The sequence below is a fragment of the Homo sapiens genome, chromosome 7, assembly GCF_000001405.40.
Source record: "Homo sapiens chromosome 7, GRCh38.p14 Primary Assembly".
Taxonomy (NCBI): domain Eukaryota; kingdom Metazoa; phylum Chordata; class Mammalia; order Primates; family Hominidae; genus Homo; species Homo sapiens.
The window spans coordinates 11,748,478-11,772,507 of NC_000007.14; the positions used below are offsets into that span (position 1 = coordinate 11,748,478).

Below are 24,030 nucleotides of genomic sequence, written 5' to 3' on the forward strand. Positions count from 1 at the left end.
TAGTATTTAAATAATGGAATATTTTAAAGATACATGTATATATTCTCAATATTTCGGTAATTTAAACCTTATTCACCCTTCCCCTAAAATACCCTCAGAACAAAGTCAAGAGACATCATGAAAAGTCACATAAATGGTGTACAAGATTATTAAAGCTATAAACTTCCAAACTATGTACAAACTATCATCAGAGTCAACCTCATAATTCACAGGACTTCTTTTTCAGAAACCAAGACGTGCTATTAAAGGTACTAAAATATAAATCTTTTACTTTTAAAAATATTTTCTTATAAAATGAAATAGGGCAATAGTGATATACGAATAACAATACAAACTTATAAATTATTTTAAAAAGTCTCTTTGGAGTCGCACGTTGTTATAGTAAAATAAATCATAATACTTTGTTAATGTGATATATTTATTGATCATAAGATTTTTTGCAGTTTATAGCTGCAGCGAACACCGGGAATGAAGTATACAGACAATTCCAGCTGAGCGGGGAGGGGAGCAGCTCCTCTGAGAGAGTGTCACCCCAAGATCCGTCCACCAAATATTATTGAGAGAGCTTGTTTAAACTACAATTCAAACAAACAAGAGACATCCACCAGGTGGCGATTTGTGGTCCGGTCATGAGGCACATATGGCCCATATGGCCTTGCTTATTAATCTAAAAGCACTTAGATCACATTCTCCTGAGGCTGTTTTCAGTGCTCCTTATCACACATTCTGCTCCTTGCCCTGTTTTCAGGGTCAAGGAGTTTCAGTCTTATGTACAAACAACATGCACACAGTGCCTCAGTATTTTTCCATGCCCCAACCTCAAATGCCTTGTACATAAGCTTGAATATATTGCTGTGCACCCCCCACATATCTCCCCCTTAATTCTTAGAGCATGTTGGTTATCTAATGCAAGGTAAGCTTCTATCATTCTTCCCTAGTCATAAATGTGTTGGGTGGCAGCACAGAGCTATTTGTAGATGTCTAGCAAACAGATATAAAAAAGAATAAGTATAGCGGCCATCACCCAAATGTGTATGTTTGACTCAGACAACCAAGTATTTGGGTTTAACAATTAAAAGTCTTCTTGTAATTGCTGAAGGGTATTTGTTTATAATTACTGTGACCATTCTTCATGTTGTTTCTTTAACTTGCACTCAAGAGTGGAAACTTGAGAAGATAGGTGGTCGTGATAAGTCCCTTGTAGGTATGCTTTCACTCTCTTCCAAGCATACCGGGAGCTATCATATGGCAAAGGTGTAACACAGATAGAATTATATTGCCAATCACAATGTAAATTTTGATGAGTAATGAATGCCTGTGGTTGATCTCCTAGCCATTCAACGGCGCTTCAAGGGCCTCTAGGTGAGACAAAATACTCTTATCAATGTTTACTTGTTCTTGAAATTCATGGGTTACATTGCATAGCATGTGGTTCACCACTGAGGCTGTATGAACAGATTCTGTCAAACAGATAGCTGTAGTAGTGGCAGTTGTTAATATAATAATAGCTGAGACTAAAAAGGCAATTAAAGTGGCCAGAATTTTTTTTTTTTTTTTTGAGTATGAGACAGTGCTTTTCTAAATAACTGCAGGGTGGAATCCCTTCCCAGTTCCTGGTAAAATTTACAGGGAGCCACAATTCTGTATGCCATTTTAAGATTATGACATAGGTTATATTTAACTGTATAATATTTCGATGAGACAAGCATGTAGCATACCAACGACTGGAAGAGACTATAAAAGGATTATTAATTACTAATTATTATTAATACTATAAAAGATTGATTCTGCTGTATGTTAGGAACACCTTGCCCAAACAGAAGTATATAGGGGTGCGTAGTACAAATCAGGACGGTATCAGTAACATTATTGTGCAAGCAGAGGGTATAGTTGTCACTGCTATTAGTGTAATCATCATGTGAAAGAATTCGTTCGAAAAAAGGAAGTCCTAGTCTCCAAATTCAGGTATGAGCAGGGCTTAAAGCTTGTTCCCTTTTTTAATTGTAACATTGGTCCTGAAAGCTCATATTCTGACCAAGTGATGGCAATATTGGAGGGACTGCCAAACCCAATAGTCTGATTTGCAGACACGAGATTACCATGGGGACCCCAATCAAGTAAGGTGCCATTATCAAACAGAGGCCCCTGACGTGGCGCAGGTTGTCTGCACGGGGACTACTGGATGGCCTCAAACTTATATGGCCAGTCTCTACTCAGACAGCATATAGGAAGATCCGGCACTTGTACAACTTCATTAGAGACCTCAGTAAGACTAGTCTAACGGCAGAAATAAAGGACAAATTTGCAAGCTTAGCATCCCTTTTGGGCTGATAGTAAAGATACTCCTGAGGAATGACAGTAATACACTTATTGTGAGTAATTGTGGAAAAACAAGTCAGGGGATTACTAGACAATAGAGTCAAAGAGTCACTGAGTTTAATCTATCCTAAATTTCAGTTAAGGGGTAAGACAAGGGCATCCATCTACCTCCTGTCCAAGAAGTATCATTAGATGACAAAGGCGGGTCTGCATCCCACCACATAATCACATTAAAAACAGGGGGATTCAGAACATGACTCCAATAAACATGTTCTTGAGCTGAGTCCACCTGGCAAAGAACAAGAAATACCAGCCACCCCAACACCCATGTCTTTCTTACTTTCTCAGAAGCTTTCCCAATTACCGCCAGATACATAAGAAACTGGTTCTGTGCAGCTGCAGGGGCTCCCCTGGCCGTAAGCCGGATAGTTGTCTGTTGGTCCAACAGATGCAGGTCTTCTTAAGGGTGGAGGAAAAGAGGGCAATGGCTTTTCTATTAGGGGAGGAAAAGAGGGCAATGGCTTTTCTATTAGGGGAGGAAAAGGCTGCACTCTGTCCTCATCAACACTAGAAAAAGTGTCTTCTTTATGCCCTACTGAATGGAATGAAGTGGGGGGAGGAGCCCCTCCCTGTTGTTCTGGTTCCTGCATTCTCTTCCCCTTTAAATTTTCTGAATTACCTTCAGGTGAAGAAAATGGGCGCTCTGACTCACCATGATCTGGCATATAAAGAGAGTACAACGCAGAGTGTACCAGAGTCCAGGTGGTCAAAATGGTAACATTAGTAAAATGACCCTGCTCAAATCTTCTTTGCAGGCAGTGACCCACCTGATCCCATAACTCCTAGTCTAATCTTGATCAGAGAAACAAGGGCATTCCTGTCAAATTAAAAATGTAAGCTTATGCAAAGTTTTAGACTTTACGGTACACTGGATAGCCTTAAGTAATTGTTGCACCGTTTAAAAAAAAAAACTTTCTGCTCTTTGGTCAATTTCTGACCCAGGATAACCCAACCCCTGGTATTATATGAATCGGTCCCATCCTCCTGAAATGGGTCGGGACTGTCCCTTACTGACACTCCCCAAAGACTGATGAGTTTACTTACTCCACACATAATTTTAAGGCAATCATGTCAGGGTAACCACTTGCAGCTTATAGCTGCAGCGAACGCTGAGAATGAAGTACTCAAACAATTTCAGATGAGCAGGGTGGGGAGCAGCTCCTCTGAGAGAGTGTTGCCCCAAGATCTGTCCATCAAATATTTATTGAGAGAGCTTGTTTAAACTACAATTCAGACAAACAAGAGACATCCACCAGCTGGCGATTTCTGGTCAGATCATGAGGCACCTATGGCCTTGTTTACTACATATAAAAGCACTCAGACCACATTCTCAGGAGGCTGTTTTCAAGGCTCCTTATCACACATTCCGTTCCTTGCCCTGTTTTCAGGGTCGAGGAGTTTCAGTCTCATGCACAAACAACATGCACACAGTGCCTCAGTATTTTTCCATGCCTCGACATCAAATGCCTTGTACATAAGCTTGAATATGTTCCTGTGCACCCCCACATTTTTCTTCTCATTTTTCTACAATTTATACTTTTCTACTTCTTCATTCCAATTAAACTGAAAGCAATATCAGTCCTTTTTGGGCAATGCAAGATCATTTTTAGTACATAATTTTTGATAATTGTTCATTTAGGGAAGAATCCACTGATGCAACTGTTACTAGAGATAAGATTATTTTATAGAGTGTGATATTAAGATCAATTTTGATTATTTTATAACATAAATTTTAGTACCTCTAGGGCTAATGATTCAACGTTTAGAAGTTTCTAAAGACCCATCTCAGTGGCTCACACCTTTAATCCCAACACTTTGTGAGGCCAAGGTGGGAGGACTGCTTGAGCCCACAAATTCAAGACCACAGTGGGCAATATAATGATACATCAGCTCTCCAAAAAATAAATTAAAAAAATTCTATTAGCCAGGTGTGGTGGCATATGCCTGTAGTCCCAGCTACTCAAGAGGCTGAGTTGAGAGGATTGCTTGAGGCCGAGAGGTCAAGGCTGCAGTGATCCATGATCACACCACTGCATTCCAGCCTGGCCAACAAGAGTGAGAGACCCTGTCTCAGTCAATCAATCAATCAATCAATCAATCAATCATTTCTAAAAATATTTAACTCTTTACATAGTTCAATTTTGTGTAAATCTGAATTTAATTAAAGTGTTAGTTTATAAAATAAAATTTTAATGTTTCCTCTGAAGGCTCCTGTAACTATGGAGGTTATATAAGAAACCAAACATGGCTTTATAGCATGTGTATAATTCAAAATATCTATTTATATATCACTGCATCTTCAATTACAGAAAAAATTAATTTTAAAATTGTCTCTTTAATCAATTTGTTTGTTTGAAGCTTATATGAAAATTATTGTTTTCCACTGAATGTGATGATCTTTAAAATTAATTTGCATTTCTAAACTTGTAGATATATGTTTTGCAGTGTTGTAGTTTTCAAAACTAGAGATTCTGAAGTCAAATTGTAATAACTCGCTGGTATGCATTATTGCAATGTCTACTTGTACACTATTATTTTTTAATAACTTATAACAAAGCTTGCTACCTGACAGCCTCTCCCAGCACTCAGGCCACAGTGTTAAAATTTGCTATAGCTTAAACTTAGGGGGTGGAAAGTCAAACTGTCTTCCCACTATGGGTCCCAACACTGCTTATATATGCAGCCCTTTCTCTCTCTCTCTCTCTCTCTCTCTCTCTCTCTGCAGTGGCTGTAACTACTGCCCCTACCATTGTTTCTGCTACAGCTGTCACTGTCACTACTGTTAATCTGGGCCCAGTTCCCAGTCTGGCTGGCCTGCCCTAAGACCTGAGACCATACATATGAAAAACACTTAAGAAAGTTGCTATTTGGAAAAGATTAATGCACTTGCTAAATTCCTAGCACAAACAATGCAATGGAGAGAGAGAGAGAGACAGAGAGAGAGAGAGAGACAGAGAGAAACATAAATTACCAATATTAAGAAAAAGAATTATCGTCAGTAATTTAAAAAGAATTAGATCCAGATTTTACAGAATTCACTTATGAATACCACAAAACAGAGGCATAGAAACTCAACAAAAACAACAGCAACAACAACAAACAGACACACTATGGAAAGGACAAAATCTAATTTCCAGAACGGCCACTTTATATTAAATGTCTATTTTTAACAAAAATACTTAGAAGATACATAAAGAAACTAGAAAGTTTGGCCTTAATATAAGGAAAAAAGCATTCAATAGAAACCATCTCCCAGGAAGCCCCTATTTCAGATTTACTAGAAAAATATTTTAAATAATCTATTACAAATATATTCAAAGAAATCAAAGAAACCATGTCTAAAGAAGTAAAAGTATGAAAATGTTGTCTCTGAAAAATAGAGAATATCAATAAAGAGACTGAAATGATAAAAATAGAGAGTAACGGAAGTGAGAACTCGAGGTAAGAGGATGTTATGATTGTACAAAGTTCTTGGGTTTAACAGCCTGCACCACAATGGAGAGGAAAATTCACTGAAGTGACATTGTGGAGCCATACATGGGACTTAGTAATTGGTAGATTAAAGGGAAGGAAGCAGAGAAAATACATCCTTTTAAGCCTTAGAAAATATTATAATTGAAGAAATTACATGTTTACTACCTGACCACTTTTAGCATGAATCTTTCTTCTGCTTCTTGTCAAGATGGTCCCCTTGGAAAGCGCTTTTCTTAATGTACTTTTATTTCTGCTTTTATGATTTAGGTCATGCAATTATTCCTGCCTCACAGTTTTTCTATTTAAACAAATTCTTGTTATTCTTCAAAATCTGTACAAGTGCAATCTTTTAAAAAACTTTCTATTTCAATTGTAATGGCCATATAATGTATTTCCTAGGACATGGTTGATTTCAACATACAATGTAGTTCCTTTTTTGCCATCTTTGATGTTTTCTAAATGTATTATATAGTTTATGTTGAGTAAAAAATGTTTTATTCCTTAGGCATAAGAATATAATAATAGAACTATATATTGACAATACGCAGACACTGACACCAACAACACAAATTATATACATGATCAGTGGTTCTCTAACTGTATTATATAGTTTATGTTGAGTAAAAAAAAGTTTATTCCTTAGGCGTAAGAATATAATAATAGAACTATATATTGACAATACGCAGACACTAACAACACAAATTATATACATGATCAGTAGTTCTTAACCAGGGGTCACTTTGCCTCTGAGAAGCCACTTGGCAACTTCTGGAGACAGGAGGGCAGTGCTACTGGTCTCTAGGGGGCGGAGGATTGAGGGCTGCTTCTGAAAGTCACACAGTGCATAAGATGGCCCTCCAAAACAAAGAATTATCTAGTCAAAAATTTCAACAGTGCCAAAATTGAGAAACCCTCATTTAGGGACATGGTATATGATAGGAAGACATTTCCTACAAATCCTGACAAAATTATTTCTCAAAATAGCAAATACCTATATTATTACAATACCAATTAAAAGCATGAATATGCAAACTATTTGGTCATAGGCAAAAATCCTAAATCCAAGAACCCCATTCTGAAGTTGTCCTAGTTAAAGTCCTCCATGATTGGACACTACAAGATAGTAAATGGGGAGAAATGCTTATGAAAGCCAAAAGGGAAGGCTTGGAAAGTCAGGGAAGGCCTTCAGACCCTGAGGCAGCTCTGTCACCTATGATAGAGATAGGGAAGGAAAGATCGGGTAGAAAGAGCCTCGGATGGCAGCACAGGTCGAGGAAGTCTCTGTCAAGATGATGGGAAGTCTTTGGACCAAAAATGCCAGCTGGAAGTACCTCATGTTGAGCAGAAAGTCTTGGCTCTAGTGTTCCTGCTGTGCACAGTCACTGGCTCAGAGCAGACCAGGGGAAGGGTTGTTCATTTTGCTTGTTTTAGTATGAAGTTAGACATAACTTTTGATAAGTTTAAATTTCAAAGAAATACTGCTTAGAAACAGATCTAGATGTATTCACTTAAATAATTTAAAATAAAGCCAAAAGGAATTAATGTGTAATTTTGTGTCAATAACAACTTTTAGAGAAAGGCAAGGAAAAATACGCCGTATACATTCTAAAAGTAGTTCTGAAAAGATTGCCACTTTGAAAACACAATTTTCATGTGCACTTATATTTCTAAGTTTCAGCTAAAAATCTACTTAATGATAATAAAAGACACTTATCTCATAGCAACATTATCATTGCATCTGCTTTTAAATGTCACTATATTCCAGTTTCTTTATTTGCAGAATGTACCAGGTTATTCATCCTGGGTCCTTTTATACTTTCTCTTTCTGTCCCTTCCACATCTATTATGTTACTAAAAGCCTGGAAATCCCATCTTCTTAATTACTCATAAATCTATTAATTTAAACATTTTGAGGAGAGCAACGAGGTAATAAATGTTGTGCATACAAAGATGACCAAACATTTTGGAAGGTGACTTCTAGGGTCAAGACTGGATGTGTATAGAAAAGTCAGGCGTGATAAGCAGTAGTCCAAGTCTAAGGTGGTGAGAGTGGAGAAGAGGAGGAGAGAAAGAATGTGGGAAATACTTGGGGAGTAACTGAAATATCTTGGAGAAGTGGGGAGAGAAATTCTCTGAGAAGTGTCTAATACACTTTTTTCTGAGAAGTGTCTAATGCACTTGTTTGGTAATTAACAGGTCCTCAGTGACCTGAACAAGAAAGGCTTTAGTAAAATCACGGGGACAGAAAGCAAATCACAGGACAAGAAAAAAAAAATGTTCATTTAGTAAACCTGATCATAAAGAAAAAGGAGAGAGATGTGATTAGATAGGGCAAGTAGGTTGCATGGATTTGCTTGTTTCTATCGGTTTATTAAGCTCTGCAGTAAGCTGAGAATATTTATATACTGGAGAAAAGCAGCCTCCAGAACTACAGAGTTGAAAATACAGAAAGGAAAGGCAATAATCAAAGAAGTACAGTAGGCAACAGCAAGTGAGAAATTAAATCAAAACAGCATTTTGTTTTAAAGAGGACATTTTTAGCCTGAAGTTGTTTCTAGGGTTTTGAGATTATTTTTAAGGAAATAACATGTTCTTTAGTTATTGCATGCTGAATTCTGGCATCAAGTGAGTTTAGATTTTATTCATCTCTGGTGTGCAAGCAGAGCACATAAGTTTCTTAAGGCCATAGTGTGTCTAATTAAATAGATATTCTTTTTAACTTCTGGCATAATGTTTTACATCTAGTGTGTGCTTAGTAAACATTTATTGATCTCTATATATGTATTTTTAAATATAAAGCCACTGCAAACGTGAAGGTTACTGTTTCACAAAAGTACTGAAAAGATACTAAAAGCACAATGGTAGAACAGCATTGTAATTAGAGTTTGGAAATACTATTTAGACAAAACTTGGTATTTATCAGATCTATTTTCATGTTTAACCATATTGGTTGGCACATATTTAATGACTGTAACCAGAATGAGATCTATGATATGGATGCATGACGCTCAGCTTTTCCAAAACACCAATAACAACAAATGTTAAGGCATTTAGCAATGCTACATACTTTCAGAATACCTTTGTATACTTTCACAACACAATAAGAAAGGAAGTATTACTGATCTCATCTTATCAATGAAAAAAAGAGAAGCAGTGAGGAACTGCCTCACCCAAGTTACAGATCTAGCCCTGTAAATCCTGGGACTTAAATTCAGATCTTCTGGATACTTACTCATTATTTAAGTAATACTAACTCATATTTAATCCTCTAAATAACTACCATATAAAACTCCCCAAAATGAGTAAGTTGATTGATATTAGAGGTATTTAAGAAAAGTAACTGACAGATTATAAGTTCTGTTTTTTGATTCTCCAGAATGTTATATTTGTATTCCCTTTGTCCATTGTAACATGACTTATGATTTAGAGTAAATATCTTTAATGGGCTTTTATAAAGTGTCTGTAATACATGAATATTTGATAATTATTCTCTTACCCTCAAAGGCTAGTCAAGTGTTAATTACTAATGTTCAGATTCTAGAATAAATGACTGGAACATAGGCTTAATTAAAAATGGAATAGGCCAATTTAGTAATAATAATAATAATGATTATAAAATTTTTTATTGACCACTTACTGTTTTTGAGCACTGTGCTAACATTATATATACATATGCATTCATATATATATATATATATATATATATATAATGTTTCACTTTAATCATCACAAAGCCCCTAATAAATAAGTGCATTATCTTTAATTGGGGAAATAGGAACCTAATAGTGATTGAGTAAAAACGAAAAGTCACATATAGAGAAAATGGTGGAAACTGAACTGTTTGCAGCAGGCTGAATTCAAAACCAGTAGACTTAAACTACACTATCTTGAGGGAAGAAGTGTAGTTTGAGATAATCCCTAAAATAGGTTATGCTCTATATTTGGTAATATGGTGGAACTGATGTCTAGAGAAATCCTCTTAGCGTAGAAAACCTTTAAATGCTAGATAAAATATAACATGTTTATTTTCTTAATGCATGGCCGAGCTGATATCAGAGGAACTCAGATGCAGAAAAAAATAAGAAAGCATGAATGCAGTGAGAAAAGTAAATGCTGAAATCTGCATTTGCCAGAGGTATATTTTTGTTCATCTTGGCTGGTGCAGGGTTTGGCTGTAAAAGTTACGAGTGTACTGAACATATGACAAAACCCCAAAGCAGCTCAAAATGGGGAGTAAAATTAAGGACTTCTATAGGATGCCAGGACTCCCACAACGTGAATGTATCCGTAACTACAGACAGAGGGCAAAGATAATTTTCTGTCTTATCATTGTTTCTATTTGGAAGGGAATAAGCAAAAAGTATCCTATGAGAGTTCAAAGCCACAATCCTATCTTTAAAGGAATGGATGATATGGCTTAAACTAGTGGTTATCAAAGTTTTTCTGTAGATGACCGGATAGTAAATATTTTAGGCTCTGTGAGCCACATGGCCTCTGTTGCAACCACTCAATTCTGCCATTGTAATGGGAAAGCAGCCAAGGACAAAACATATATGTAGCTGTGTGCCAGTAAAACTTTATTCATGAAAGCAGGCAGCAGGCTGAAATTGTTCTGCAGGCTGTAGTTTGCTAAGCCTGGTCAAAAAAAACTTAAGTAAAAAAATTAGCTTTAAATTGCCCCTTCTGGTAAGGATCCAGGGACCTGGAGAAAGTAAACACAAATTATCTCTGGAGAAAATAAGCCAAAAGACGTCAAAGAATTCCAATAGCTAATGTTCCAAGAAACACGAATTCAACAGGAAAGGAGCAACCATGAGTGAAAGTCAGTAAAAAAAACACATTACAGTTGAAGCGGGCAAAAACAGCAGAATTATACAACAATAAATATAGCCTAAGAAGATTTATTTGTTTAAAAGAATATCAATATGTAGTGAAAGTATGCTAAAGGAAGAGGCAAAAATGACCATGTAATTTGAAAAAGAACCAATGAAATGATCACAACTAAAAGGTATGGTTGTTTAGAAATTCATTGAGAATATTAAACAGCAGATGAGATACAGGAGAAGAGATAATAAGTTGAAAGATATTAATCTGTAGAAATCATTCACAGTGTGGCACACAGACATATGAATATGTGACAAGGACAGAAAGAGTGAGAAGATCTAACATATCTAATCAGTGTTCTGTGCAGAGAATATAGAAAGAATAAGGGAAGGCAATAGAAGAAATAATAACTAAATTTTTCAGAATTCATGAAAGATATCAGTTCTCATATTCAGAAAGCCAAGCGAATTTCTAGAGAGGTGTATACACATACACATATACACACACACGATTACCTAATCACACCTAGAGAGCAGAATGCCAGATACAAGAAATTTATTAAAGTTTCTCAAAATGCTATGAGAAAAATATCTGTCAACCTAGAATTTTATGCTGGGCAAAGCAGTCTTTCATAACAATAGTGAACTAAAGACATTTCAAATATCAACAAATTGAGATAGTTTACAAACTGCATATTCTCATTAATAGAACTCCTAAAGACTATGTTGCATAGAGAAGTTAGTGACCTAAAGAAGTTTGGAGAAACAGTACATATATGTGAGTGGATCTAAGTCACCATTGACTGTATAAGGAATTGATAAGAATATCTAATATTAAGTGATACAAATATACACAAACAAAATATGAGAAGCAATATTACACAAGTTGGGAGGGGTGGTTAGATTTAAAGCATCTCAAGGTACTTATTGGGAAAGAAGAGAAAGATGATGATAGACACCTTAGGATTTGTTCTGATAAATATTTCCAATAAAATGCCCATTGTATCCACTGAAAGAATTGTAATAAAATGAACTTCCAAACTGGAAGATTCAAAAATTAATGGAATGATATTTGGGAGATTTAGATGGATACAAGTAAAGTTAAGTACATTTGCACTGAGGCAAGAATAAATATAATGTTTGTTGTAAGAAAGAACATTCAGTAACGTTTAATAGATAGTGCTTCAAAAATATTAAAGAAAACAAATCTGTAGTGGGCAAAAAAAAGAAATAGGATGTATTTTTGCATTTGATTATAAAGAACAGTATGGCAAGTAAGAATGGCTGTTCCTCATTATGTGAATGTTCCTCATTATGTGAATGTTCCTCATTATGTGAACGCAAAGTAACAGCCAACAAATGTAAACGTTGTGAAATCCAATCTTCTTGTTCGCTGAGCTTCCAGGAACAATTGCAGAACACCAGCCTCACAGGATGCCAATTACAGCAATATAGCCTCTAGGCTCACATAATCACAACATCTGTAAAAGTGCCCTTCATGGATGGTTTACAGTAAATTTTATTACAGCTTTCATGTTGTACCAGAGGCTTTAGCACATACTATGTTAATAATATCAGCAAACAACCAGTTTAAAACCATATAATCAAAATAATTACTTTTAACTGAAAATAATTTGTGAGGTTTAAATTTGTTATGATAGAAAATAAAAATAAAATCTTAAAATTTGCTTTTAAGAACATTTTAAAAATCCATTATCATACCACAGGGCATAATAATTATCTACTAATGTTACATATTTTAAAACACAAATAAAAATTACTGGCTATAATATTTATAAATTATAAATTATAATTTATATATTTATATATAATTATAATTTTTATAAATCGAATACAAACATATTGCTAAGATGCTGATAAGCTATAAATATGTCAAACCCAAAAGTATAAATATGTAAAACAAACAAAAAATTTTTAGAACAGCCCGAAGATTAACTGCTGTTTCTAAAACTTGAAGACAACTTTGATTACATCAAACATCTTTTTAGATCTTTATATTCAATTTTTAAAAAAGCAAATTCATTTTGAAATACAGAATTTGCCCTGGGTTTTCATTAACACATATTCATTAGTGGTTAAACAGATATAAAAATCAATACTTCTTCTGTGGGAAAGGGAAATCCAACATCTGTTAACTGAAGGTTGAAATACATATCATGTCATCCACCACCAAAATTCTGGTCAATATATAACATCTTTGCAAATAGAATCACTTATACAGTAACATACTTTCTTAGAGCTTTATTTCATAAAGATGTTTTCATCATGCATATCTTTTTTCATAAAGGGCATCATTTCATTATATGTATGTATATGTGTATATTATACATACATACAATGTATATATATGTAATGCATACATTGTGTGTGTATATATCTACATGTATAGTGTTTTCAAGAGGAGGCTGTGTTAACATGTGAATGACAGTTTGTAGTACTTCTTATCATTTACCATCTATGGTTGCAAATACCTTCCAAGTGACTTGCAAATGTCAATTTCTAACAACCCTTTAATCTTGTCACAAACTCTCTTTTAAACTGCTATTTTGATATCAGAATTGCATTCCTTTCTTTCTTTCTTTAAGGTTTTATTTTAGATTTGGGGGTACACGTGCAGGTTTGTTACATGAGTATGTTGGGTGATGCTGGGGTTTGGGCTCCTAGAGAACCTATCACCCAAATAGTGGACATAGTACCCAATAAGTAGTCTCTTCAACACTTGCCTGCCTCCCTCCTTCCCCCCTTTTGGAGTACTCACTGTCTATTATTTCCATCTTTATGTTCATCTGTACCAACTGTATACCACTTATAACTGAGAACATGTAGAATTTTATTTTCTTTTTCTGCATTAATTCACTTTGGATGATGGCCTCCAGTTTCAATCATGTTGCTGCAAAGGCCATAATTCCATGCTTTTTATCGCTGCATAGTATTCCATGGTGTATACCTACCACATTTTTTTATCCAAGCTACTGTTCATAGACACTTAGGTTCCCTAACTTAGGATTGTAAATAGTGCTGTGATAAACATACAAGTACATGTGTCTTTTTGATAAAATGGTTTCTTTGGGCAGGTATCCATTAGTGGGATTGCTAGGTTGAATGGTAATGATATTGTTAGTTATTTGAGACACCCCCATACTGATTTTCATAGGTGTTGAATTAATTTACATTTCCACCAGCAATGTCTAGGCGGTTCCTTTCTTATTCATCCTAGCTATGATTTATTATTTTTGACTTTAGTAACAGCCATTCTGACTGGTATGAGATGGTATCTTATGGCTTTAATTTGCATTTATCTGCTGATTAGTGATATGGAGCATTTTTATATGTTTGCTGGCCGCTCAGGTGTCTTCTTCTGAGAAATGTCTGTTCGTGTCCTTTGCCCACTTTTCAATAAATCAGGTTATTTGTTTTATTCTTGTTGATTTGTTTAAGTTCCTTATAAGTTCTGGATATTAATCCTTTGTTAGATACATAGTTTGCAAATATTTTCTCCCATTCTGGAAGTTGTCTGCTTACTCTGTTGATTGTTTCTTTTGCTGTGCAGAAACTCTTTAATTTATTTAAGTCCCATATGAAGGTGAAAGATCTCTACAAACTACAAAATATTCATGAAAAAAATTATAGATGACACAAACAAACGGAAAAACATTCCATTCTCATGAATTAGACAATCAACATCATTATAATGACCATATTGACCAAAGAAATCTACAGATTCAACACAGTTACTTTCACGTTACCTATGTCATTTTTCACAGAATTAAAAAAATTGTAAAATTCATATGGAACCAATAAAAGAGCCCCAATAGCCAAACAATCCTAAGCAAACATAATTGTATTTCTAACGTATAAACTAAAAAGTCATTTCATTGCTTAAAATTCTTTATTGGGTCCCTATCACTGACCAGAAAAAGACAAAAGCTAACAACCCCCCACACTTTGCCATAGCACTAAAGGCCATTCCAAATTGTTTTTCTTTCTTCTTTTCCAAGTATTCCCTTAATATAAACTGTACTTCCATCCCACTGGTAACCAAATCATCCTGCAGCCTGACATATTCAAATGCTGCTTCCTCCACCTGGGATGCCTTCTGTCATCTCTGTCCTCATCTACCTTACCAACTCTTTTCAATTTTCAGGTCTTAGCTAAAATATCACTTCTCAGGGTAATACTTTGCTGTCCATATCTTGACTGAACTAAGTTAGATGCTCTCTTCATTGTGTTTACATACATCAAAATAGTTTTACATTGTTTTATCTGTGCATGTATATCTAAATGTATATGCATATATATCCATGTACACATATATACACATCTATATACACATACACATAAATACATATAGATATATCTGTGTATATGTATTTTACATATACCTAAATCTTAGCATAATGCCTTAAAACAATCAACTCAAAAAATGAAGTAGATGAATTAATAAGACTTCTTAGTGTTTATAACTTAAACAGTAAGAAATTAGGTTAGTTTTTTTAATCACAATAACTCATTCTTTGAATGTCATTTCCCTTAATGATTATAGCAATATTTGTAGCTGGTTATTAAATACGGTTCCTGCCTTTCTAGGAAAATGATATTTAGATTCCTGCTCTAGCTTTTCTCAAAGCTCTTATTTATTGCTCATTTCCTCAGGATTTAAAGGTGATATGTTATATAAAAACATATTAGTTGGAGCTATAATCTAAAATTCCTCTGTGGAGTAGTTAAAGTAAGACTATGATTAGTATTAAATGGGGATAAGTAAGTAATATTTTGTAAAACTCTTAAAAGAACTCAAACTGTTTGATCAGCTATCCATTATATTATTAAGTTGCATCATCCTTTCTCTGTTTTTCCTTTCTTCCAATCAAAAATCAGAAAAAGAATGTAAATAAATCCTGCAAATCTTCATAATTACCAATGTATTGTTCTAAGAAACCAAATTTTATATAGCCCAATTATTCAATCCTACCTTAAATTAAATGACTCACACTAAGGTAGAAAGAGTACGAACTTGACAGGGTCAGTGCTTGACAACACAGCTGTCATAAAATACCAACTGAAATTAAATTAATGGTATTTACAAATAGTCTATAGTATAAAAATAGATAAATTTAAAAGTAAAGACCGGGCATGGTGGCTCATGCCTGTGATCCCAGCACTTTGGGAGGCCGAGGCGGGTGGATCACGAGGTCAGGAGATCGAGACCATCCTGGCTAACACGGTGAAACCCCGTCTCTACCAAAAATACAAAAAATTAGCCAGGCGTGGTGGCAGGCGCCTGTTGTCCCAGCTACTCGGGAGGCTGAGGCAGGAGAATAATGTGAACCCAGGAGGCGGAGCCGAGATAGCGCCACTGCAGTCCGGCCTGGGTGAAAGAACGAGACTCCGTCTCAAAAAAAAAAAAAAAAAAAGTAAAGGGATGAGAATGAAACTACAATTACCTTAGTTTCTCATGAAAGCATAATCAGATCAATAATTTAAAATATTTTTAAAACCTAAATTCTGGTTTTATCATAATTTTTAGTAATTATGGAATGAGCCAATTTAGTAAACTAATGGATTATATTAGGATTATATTACTTGGAAGACTTCAATAAGTCAATTTATTCAATTTCAGCCCTTGGAAAATACAGTAATTTGAATAAAACAATATTTTAAAATTGAAGTGAATTTTATAATTCATTAAATTATAAGGAAAAACTATGAAAAATTAGGATATGGATTTTAAGAGGCTAATCTGTCAAACTCTAATGTAAGTAGAAATGGTTTAAAATCTGTAACAGTATAGAAACTCTTAATGACAAACCTGAGAGATAAGGAAGATATAGTAGACACTGATTAAATACTTAAAAATATGTGGCATAAGAAATGTATAAATCTTTTTATTAAAAGTGATAATTCAAAAAATCTACCAAAAATGAAAATTCATTTTTGAGAGAAACTGATACTGGAAAATGTGTAAATAAGGTATAGAAAAATATAGGTTCATTCACAGAAAGTAGTTCAGGGACTTATTTAAAAGTTCACTATAAAGGAGAAAAATAAACTTTATTTCATCATGCTGTTGCTCATACATACATGAACTTGTGATGCGAATATTTAAGTTTGCTATCTTAGGATACTTTCTCATAGAATTATGAATATGCTTTAAAATTACAAAAATCTAGAAAAGACTTGTCCAGCTTTGGCATGTGTTAATGAGATATACTAGGTGATATCCAGCTGAATAGCATTTCTTACCAGTACGATAGGTTACCAGGTGCCTATGAAGAATAACAAATTGTACAGGTCAAAAGCAACAAATGTTTCCTTCCTTGGAAGTTGCTTAGACTAGTTCAAATAAATATGAATAGTTAAAATATATATGGTTTGTATAATAATTTGTAGAGAAAAAACTTTGACTATCGCCAACTTAAATTTTATTTTTGAATTACATTTTCTTCATTCATTTTAGTCACACATTCTGTCACTAAGTGAGATTACTATGCATTTCCCCTGCTTGGATTTCCTGGGAAACAAGCTGGTTCCCTTGAGTAGTTTCATGTAAGTATACAGTAGTGGTATTCCATCTTCTTTCCAAACTGGTTATGGCCCTCTAGTTCTGTCCATTGCAGCCTGTACATACCCTGAACATGTACAGCACTATCAGAAAATAAATCCAATTTTCCTTAAAAATAGGTCAGAACCTGAGCAACTTAGCATAAAAATAATTATCTGAGTCTGAATTCCCATCTCAAAGAATATACAAAAATTATTTTTTATCCTGTACACAAATCTAAACAGTTTGACTTTATAATTATTTGGCAAAACATATTCTCACCTTTGAGTGTACACAGTGTCAATTCAGTGACAGTGGACTCTAAGTAAATAGCTAAAAGTGAAAAAAATACAACTACATATGTGTGGAAGGGCAGTGAATTTTAAAAGCTGTTTGAAGTCTCATGCCCCTTGACCTTCTCTCATTATTATTGCCTGGTGAACCTTTTCAAGATGAATGGTGTATATCTTTAACTATGACAGTCCATTTAGCAATCACAATATTTCCTATAAGTTAGATAAATTGACCAGTCACTTAACAAGAAGAAAGGCCAGCATCAGTTGCAGCAAAGGTCACTCAATCTAGTTTTGTTCTATATTAAATTGTCATCAGATCTGAACAGCAATTTTATCAATAATACATCTAACTAGAATTTTGCAAAATGTAGAAATCAACTGCCTTCCCTATGGGATAAATGAAGTAGGTAAATAAGACACAACTCTCCACGACAAACTCACAGGGTATTGAACCAATATTCTCATCTATCACTTAAACTAAAGATGACTTTCAGAAATAACTCTATTGGTTCAAACGTTTATCCTTATAGAGATTAAACAAGTGAATGTCATGTGGACTTGGTAAATATGTTTGACTTTTCTGCCTAGCCAAGCAATAAATATATGAAACAAGCAAAATATATTCTGATATTATGAACTGAATATAATAATCAGGAGGCTATCACTCAAATCCAGAATAAGGAGTGATCTACAGTACAATTGACCTGAATTCAAGATTAAATGCCATTGAGAACAGAGGCAGGCAGAGGACTCAGATTGGTGGAGAACAGGGAGAAACAGTTTAGCCAATGCAACGAGTGGGGTTTGGTTTACACAGGATTAAAGAACAACCACAAAGCTAAAAAGGACATTTTGAAGAAAATCTGGGAAATTTGAAAATGGGGGAAATTTCAAAACTGCCACTGCATTAATGTTTATTGTCTTAGGTATGGTAATGATGATGTGGCAGAGTAAGAGAAGGTCTTTGTTTCTAGAAAATGCAAATTGAAATGGTTAAGGAGGAGTGCCATGATATTTACAGAAAACTTCTTTTAATGATTTGGGAAAGTGTGTGGGTGTGTGTACATGCATGTGCATGTATGTTTCTGTGTATAAACAGCAATTGTGGGAAGAAATCAATAGTTCATGAACATAAGGAGAAGTAAACAGGGGTACACTGTACATTCATTGTTTTTTGGGGTTTCAGAAAATTCAATTTAAAAATATCAGAACATATTATTCCTCTGCCCCAAACCTTGTACCAGAATCCCATTTTATTCGCAACCAAAGCCAGTCATTATGATGACCTACATTATCTGGTTCTTCATAACGTCTCTAACCACTGTGTGTGCAATTCTTCCCTTGTGGTTACTTTCCTCCAGTCACATCAGCTTTTTTACTGTTTCTCAAACATACCAAGCATGTGTCTGCACTGCCTGTTCCCTTAGCCAGGAACATTAATTAGTCTAGATGTATTAATTCTTTACTTAAATACACATTAACGAAATCTACTTTAACCACCTTGTTTAAAACTGTAACCCTGCTACAACACATGTTAACTTTCCACATGATTTTTAATATAACTTTCAAAATTATTGTATATTTTATTATATAGTATTTTCATTTTATTATCAGTATCACCCCAAAGTAAGTTCCAACAGGAATAGATCTTTGGGTTTTCTGTTCACAGAAAAACCTAGAAGAGTTGCTGGCATATAATTGGTCCTTAATTAATTCTTGTTGAAAGTTGAATGAATAAAGAACACCTCTCCTTGTAGCCAGAAAATGAAAGATCTGAGTGCAGTTTTGTTGTAGAAAACAATGGGTTGAGGACAACAGAAGCTCCAACAAGGAAACAGCTCAGCATAAAAGAGTATCAGTCAGGGAGAACATTCAAGGAATAAGGACTTAGAAGGAGAGATGACTTTAAGACATCATAGACATTTTCTTACTTTAACAATATGAATGAGGAGCTGAAAAGGGATCAAAATAAATATATTAGCTATTCTTTAAATATCCTGTAATCTAGGAGTGATCATTTACAATAAAAGGATTTAGAATAAATGTAAACCAGTGAGATGTGTGTGAAATATCTGATAAGTAATGTGCAAGAAACATGTAACCTGAGTTTAAATAAGAAGACCATACTTGGCAGGACTATTCAGTATCCTAATCAAATGATGGTTCTTATGTTAATATTGAGGTTGTTATTTTCCTTCTAAACTCATTTGCAAAAGACCTTGGGCCATTATAAATGCTAGTTGTCCAACAATATATCAGGATATATTGGCAAACGGAATCATATGTTTGTCATAAGGCAAAACCACCTAATAAGTTCTCCGTGTTTCAAGAGCTAACATCATAGAGGCAATCACAAACTGGCTTGACACCATAGGATATATATAACAATTGGCATGCAATCTTTGTGGCAACATGGAGTCATTTAGACTGTCTAGGAGTCGACAGAGATAGGAATCTTGAGGTTGAAAGTCATGAGACTGAAAGCCTCTTTACAGGTTTTTCACCTTCCCCTTTCTAAGTACTACTGGCGTATTTAGGTAATTAGCGATGGGTATGGTCAAAAGTGATCTCCAACTCTAGTCCATGTGATTGTGAACTCAGGGATAGACCTCTTGAACTAAGGACAGTGAGTTCACAGTTTCATTAAAAAGGTGTCGGCAGACTTCCCATGTGTAATATTTTATACCTTAGTTTGATAAGAAAAGATATCATTAAGGACAATTTATTCTACGTTGTTAATTTGTTATATAAAATGCATTGTTTTTGAAGCCTTATCTAAGAATATGATATTTAAATTTAAAAGTACTTTTATTTCAATCAGTTGACTTACAAACAAATTTTCTAGAATATAATCAACCTCAGCATCCCAAGCATGCCACTCCTTTATGCTTTCAAACACATAGCCTATCATAATCCATTTAATGGTTTTGTTTTGTTTTGTTTTATTTTTGTTTTGATTTTTTTGAGATGGACTCTCATTCTGTTGCCCAGGCTGGAGTGCAATGGTGCGATCTCGGCTCACTGCAACCTCTGCCTCCTGGATTCAAGTGATTCTCCTGCCTCAGCCTCCTGAGTAGCTGCGATTACAGGCACCTGCCATAATTCCTGGCAATATATATATATATATATATATATATATATATTTTTTTTTTTTTTTGGTATTTTTGTAGAGATGGGGTTTCACTATGTTAGCCAGGCCGGTCTCAAACTCCTGACCTCAGGTGATCTGCCTGCCTCGGCCTCCCAAAGTGCTGGGATTACAGGCATGAGCCACTGCGCCTGGCCCATTTAATGGATTTGAAAGCAATCACCTGTAGAGCAGCCTACTCTGGAAAATTAATTGCAAAGATATTTGTAACCAAAGAATAGTTAATTATTAAATCATCAATTGTGTTGATCCCTTGGCTGGGACTTAAGGCAGTGAGTCTGTAAGGTCACCAGTGGGCTGCCATTTCATAATAACTTGTGATGATAAATGAGTTTAACTAGATATTTATCTTTTTTTTCAAGAAGCTGTGTCTCAAGAAAGGGTCCTTAGGGAAACACTTTTCTAAGCAAAATTCTGATTATGTTTATCTAGAAATATCTCTGGTATTCACACCCAGACATTCACTTTTCCCCATGTAATTTTGTCTCACCTGATTTATTAATGTTGGCTAATAGTTCCTACTATCTAGAAGTACTACCTGAAGCTTTTCCTTCTATTTATTTATATCCAGTTTATTTTCAGTAAACGTTTGCATTTTCAGTTTTATTTGTGGCAGTTAAATTCTAAATAAGAAATATTTCAGTGAGTCCTCTTCTTAACTTTAATCTAAAAGTATCTGTATGATTACTTGCAATATCTATAGCAGTGATTAATTTCAAGTATCTTGAAAATTAAATAACGTAAATAAGCAACATTTTTGAAAACTGACATATAATTTATATTATTCTAATCTTAAATTTCACTTTCTTGTCACTATGGCATTTGTCAAAGACAAATGTTAGAAGCTGGCTTTGAATAGTGGTGATTCATACCACTATTCCACATGTTCATTATTTTACCTATTGCATTGACACTTAATTCTGTGATCTTTATGTAACCAGAGCATAAAAACTTGAAAAAATAACCAACTTTTCATCATACATTTTTTAATAAAACTATTTTGTTTTCAATTCTTAGTTGAATCACCCTCTATTATATTTAAAGATCTATTTAATAAATAAAAGAATCATAGTTAAATCATAATTTTAAGTAGAGTTTAAATAATGTTGCACTCAGAAGCCAAACCAAATATTTAGTTTGCTAATAGAAAATAATAAAATTTCAAGAATTATATTTTAATTGCAATTGCCATAATCTGGTTTAATCCTAGGTTTGCTCAAAATGTGATCTTAATGAAACCATTTAGTACATGAAATTACAGAATTTATTTTCTGTTTATCTAAAGTCAAGAGTATAGTTTAAAGAGCAAGGTTAATTCTGACAGTGAAGCCACATTTACCAGTGTTTCTGAGGCAAAGGGCTAATGTTATCAACTGGAAACTGACAAATGATTGTTTCAGTCTAACTTTTGAGCTTTATCATTACCCACAACTTCTTTGAAATCTCTCTTCTACTTCAAGGACTACACATAGCATGAAAATTGAATCTTCGGTAGGATTCACAACCAATTCTAGATTGTGTGATTTAAATTATTTGTTCTAAACTTCCATTACTTTGAGAAAACTATGCAAAAAAATTAATGCTAAAGTAAGGTCAATATTTGTGGAATCACATTCTTTAACTCCAAATCTACTGACTATACTGAAATATATCAAGATTTTTTGGCTACGTAGAAGTATTTATGGTAAGTAAAAAGAGAAATCTTTTCAATGTATTTTACTTTTTAAAAAATCAAAAATAATAGTTATATGTGAAATGAAGAAATCCATTAATATACAATAAATTTGCCTAATAAATATATAAAATTTTAATATTCATGAATTTTTTGATACATAGAAGACTAGAAAAAGATAATTTCATCATAAAAGTATCTCATACATTCTTTCTTTAAAAATTTTTTTCTCATAGATCAATTTTTCAACTTAGAAAAATATATATAGAAACATTGACTATTAAGAGATTTTTCATCATAATTAATATAAAATATGTTTATGATTTATAATAAAGAATCCCATAGATATGTTTATAACAATTTCTCCTCAATTATAAAAAATTTACATTGGAATTTTTTAACTTGGTAAATATTGAATACTAACTATCATGTAGGCACATCTAATAATAAAGATGAATAAGTGATCACAACGATCAATAATCTTTAACACTTATTAGAAAAATATAAAAACAGTTGAATATGAAGCCATTGATGTTATAAATACAGAGAGAAAAGTTTGACATGTGAACACTAGGTATACATTTATAATTAAATAAATAGAAAATAAATAAAGCCAATGCAAAATATGTAATTTTAAAACATTGAGAAATGAAGTGGTAACCATCAGATAACAATCTCTAAGTTATGAGATTTGGAAGTTTGATATAAGAAAGATATCAGCTATTGCTAAATTACTTTATGCAATTTCAATATATACATACCAGGTTTTTTTTTTTCCTGGAGTAAATAGTAATTGTAAAGTTCATCTTTCTCAAAAGAAGTCATACATGTGGCCAAAAAGCATACGAAAAAATACTCAACATCGCTAATTGATAAGGTTTGGATCTATCTCCTCACCCAAATCTCACGTGGAATTGGAATCTCCAATGCTGGAGTTGGGGCCTAGTGGGAGGTGATTGGATCATGGCGGTAGATCTTTCATGAATGGTTTAGCACCATCTCCTTGCTGCTGTTCTTGTGACGGTGAGTGAATTCTCAGATCTGGTTGTTTAAAAGTGTGTTGCACCTTTTCTGTCTCTCTCTTGCTCCTACTCTGGCCGTGTGATGTGTGTGCTCTCCTTTCACCTTCCGCCATGGTTGAAAGTTTGCTGAGGCCTCTCAGAAGTGAAGCAGGTGCCAGCATTCACGCTTCTTGTACAGCCTGCAGAACTGTGAGCCAACTAAACCTCTTTTCTTTATAAATTACCCAGTCTTCAGTATTTCTTTAAGCAATGTGAGAACAGACTAATACTCTAATCGTTAGAGAAATGCAAATTCAAACCACAATGAGATACTATCTCACACCAGTCAGAATTATTATTATTAAAAAGTTAAAACAAAAAAAAACAAAACAAAACAGATGCTGGCAATGGGGATCTGGAGGAAAGGGAATGCTGGTGGTGAGAATGTAAATTAGTTCAGCCACTGTGGAAAGCAGCATGGAGATCTCTCAAAGAACTTAAAACAGAACTACCATTTGACCCAAGAATCCCATTACTGGGTATATATGCAAAGGAATATAAATCATTCTTCTAAAAAGACACATGCACCCATATGTTCATCACAGCACTATTCACAATAACAAAGACATGGAATCAATCTAGATGCCCATCAACACTGGCTTGGATAAAGAAAAT

At 34.2% G+C, this 24,030-nt stretch overlaps 1 protein-coding gene across 6 annotated transcripts in view; it reads right to left on the minus strand.

Moving 5' to 3' along the window:
- The window catches only part of THSD7A (thrombospondin type 1 domain containing 7A), a 461,834-nt gene that overhangs the window by 378,113 nt on the left and 59,691 nt on the right, over nt 1-24,030 (minus strand). The window contains exon 1 of one of the 6 annotated variants that reach the window (XM_047420040.1): nt 2,660-2,925. The exons of the other annotated variants lie outside the window; for them this stretch is intronic. The gene's annotated coding sequence lies outside the window, so the exon portion shown is untranslated. Of the gene's footprint in view, nt 1-2,659; nt 2,926-24,030 lie in introns of those variants that run through there. 6 annotated transcript variants of the gene reach the window in all.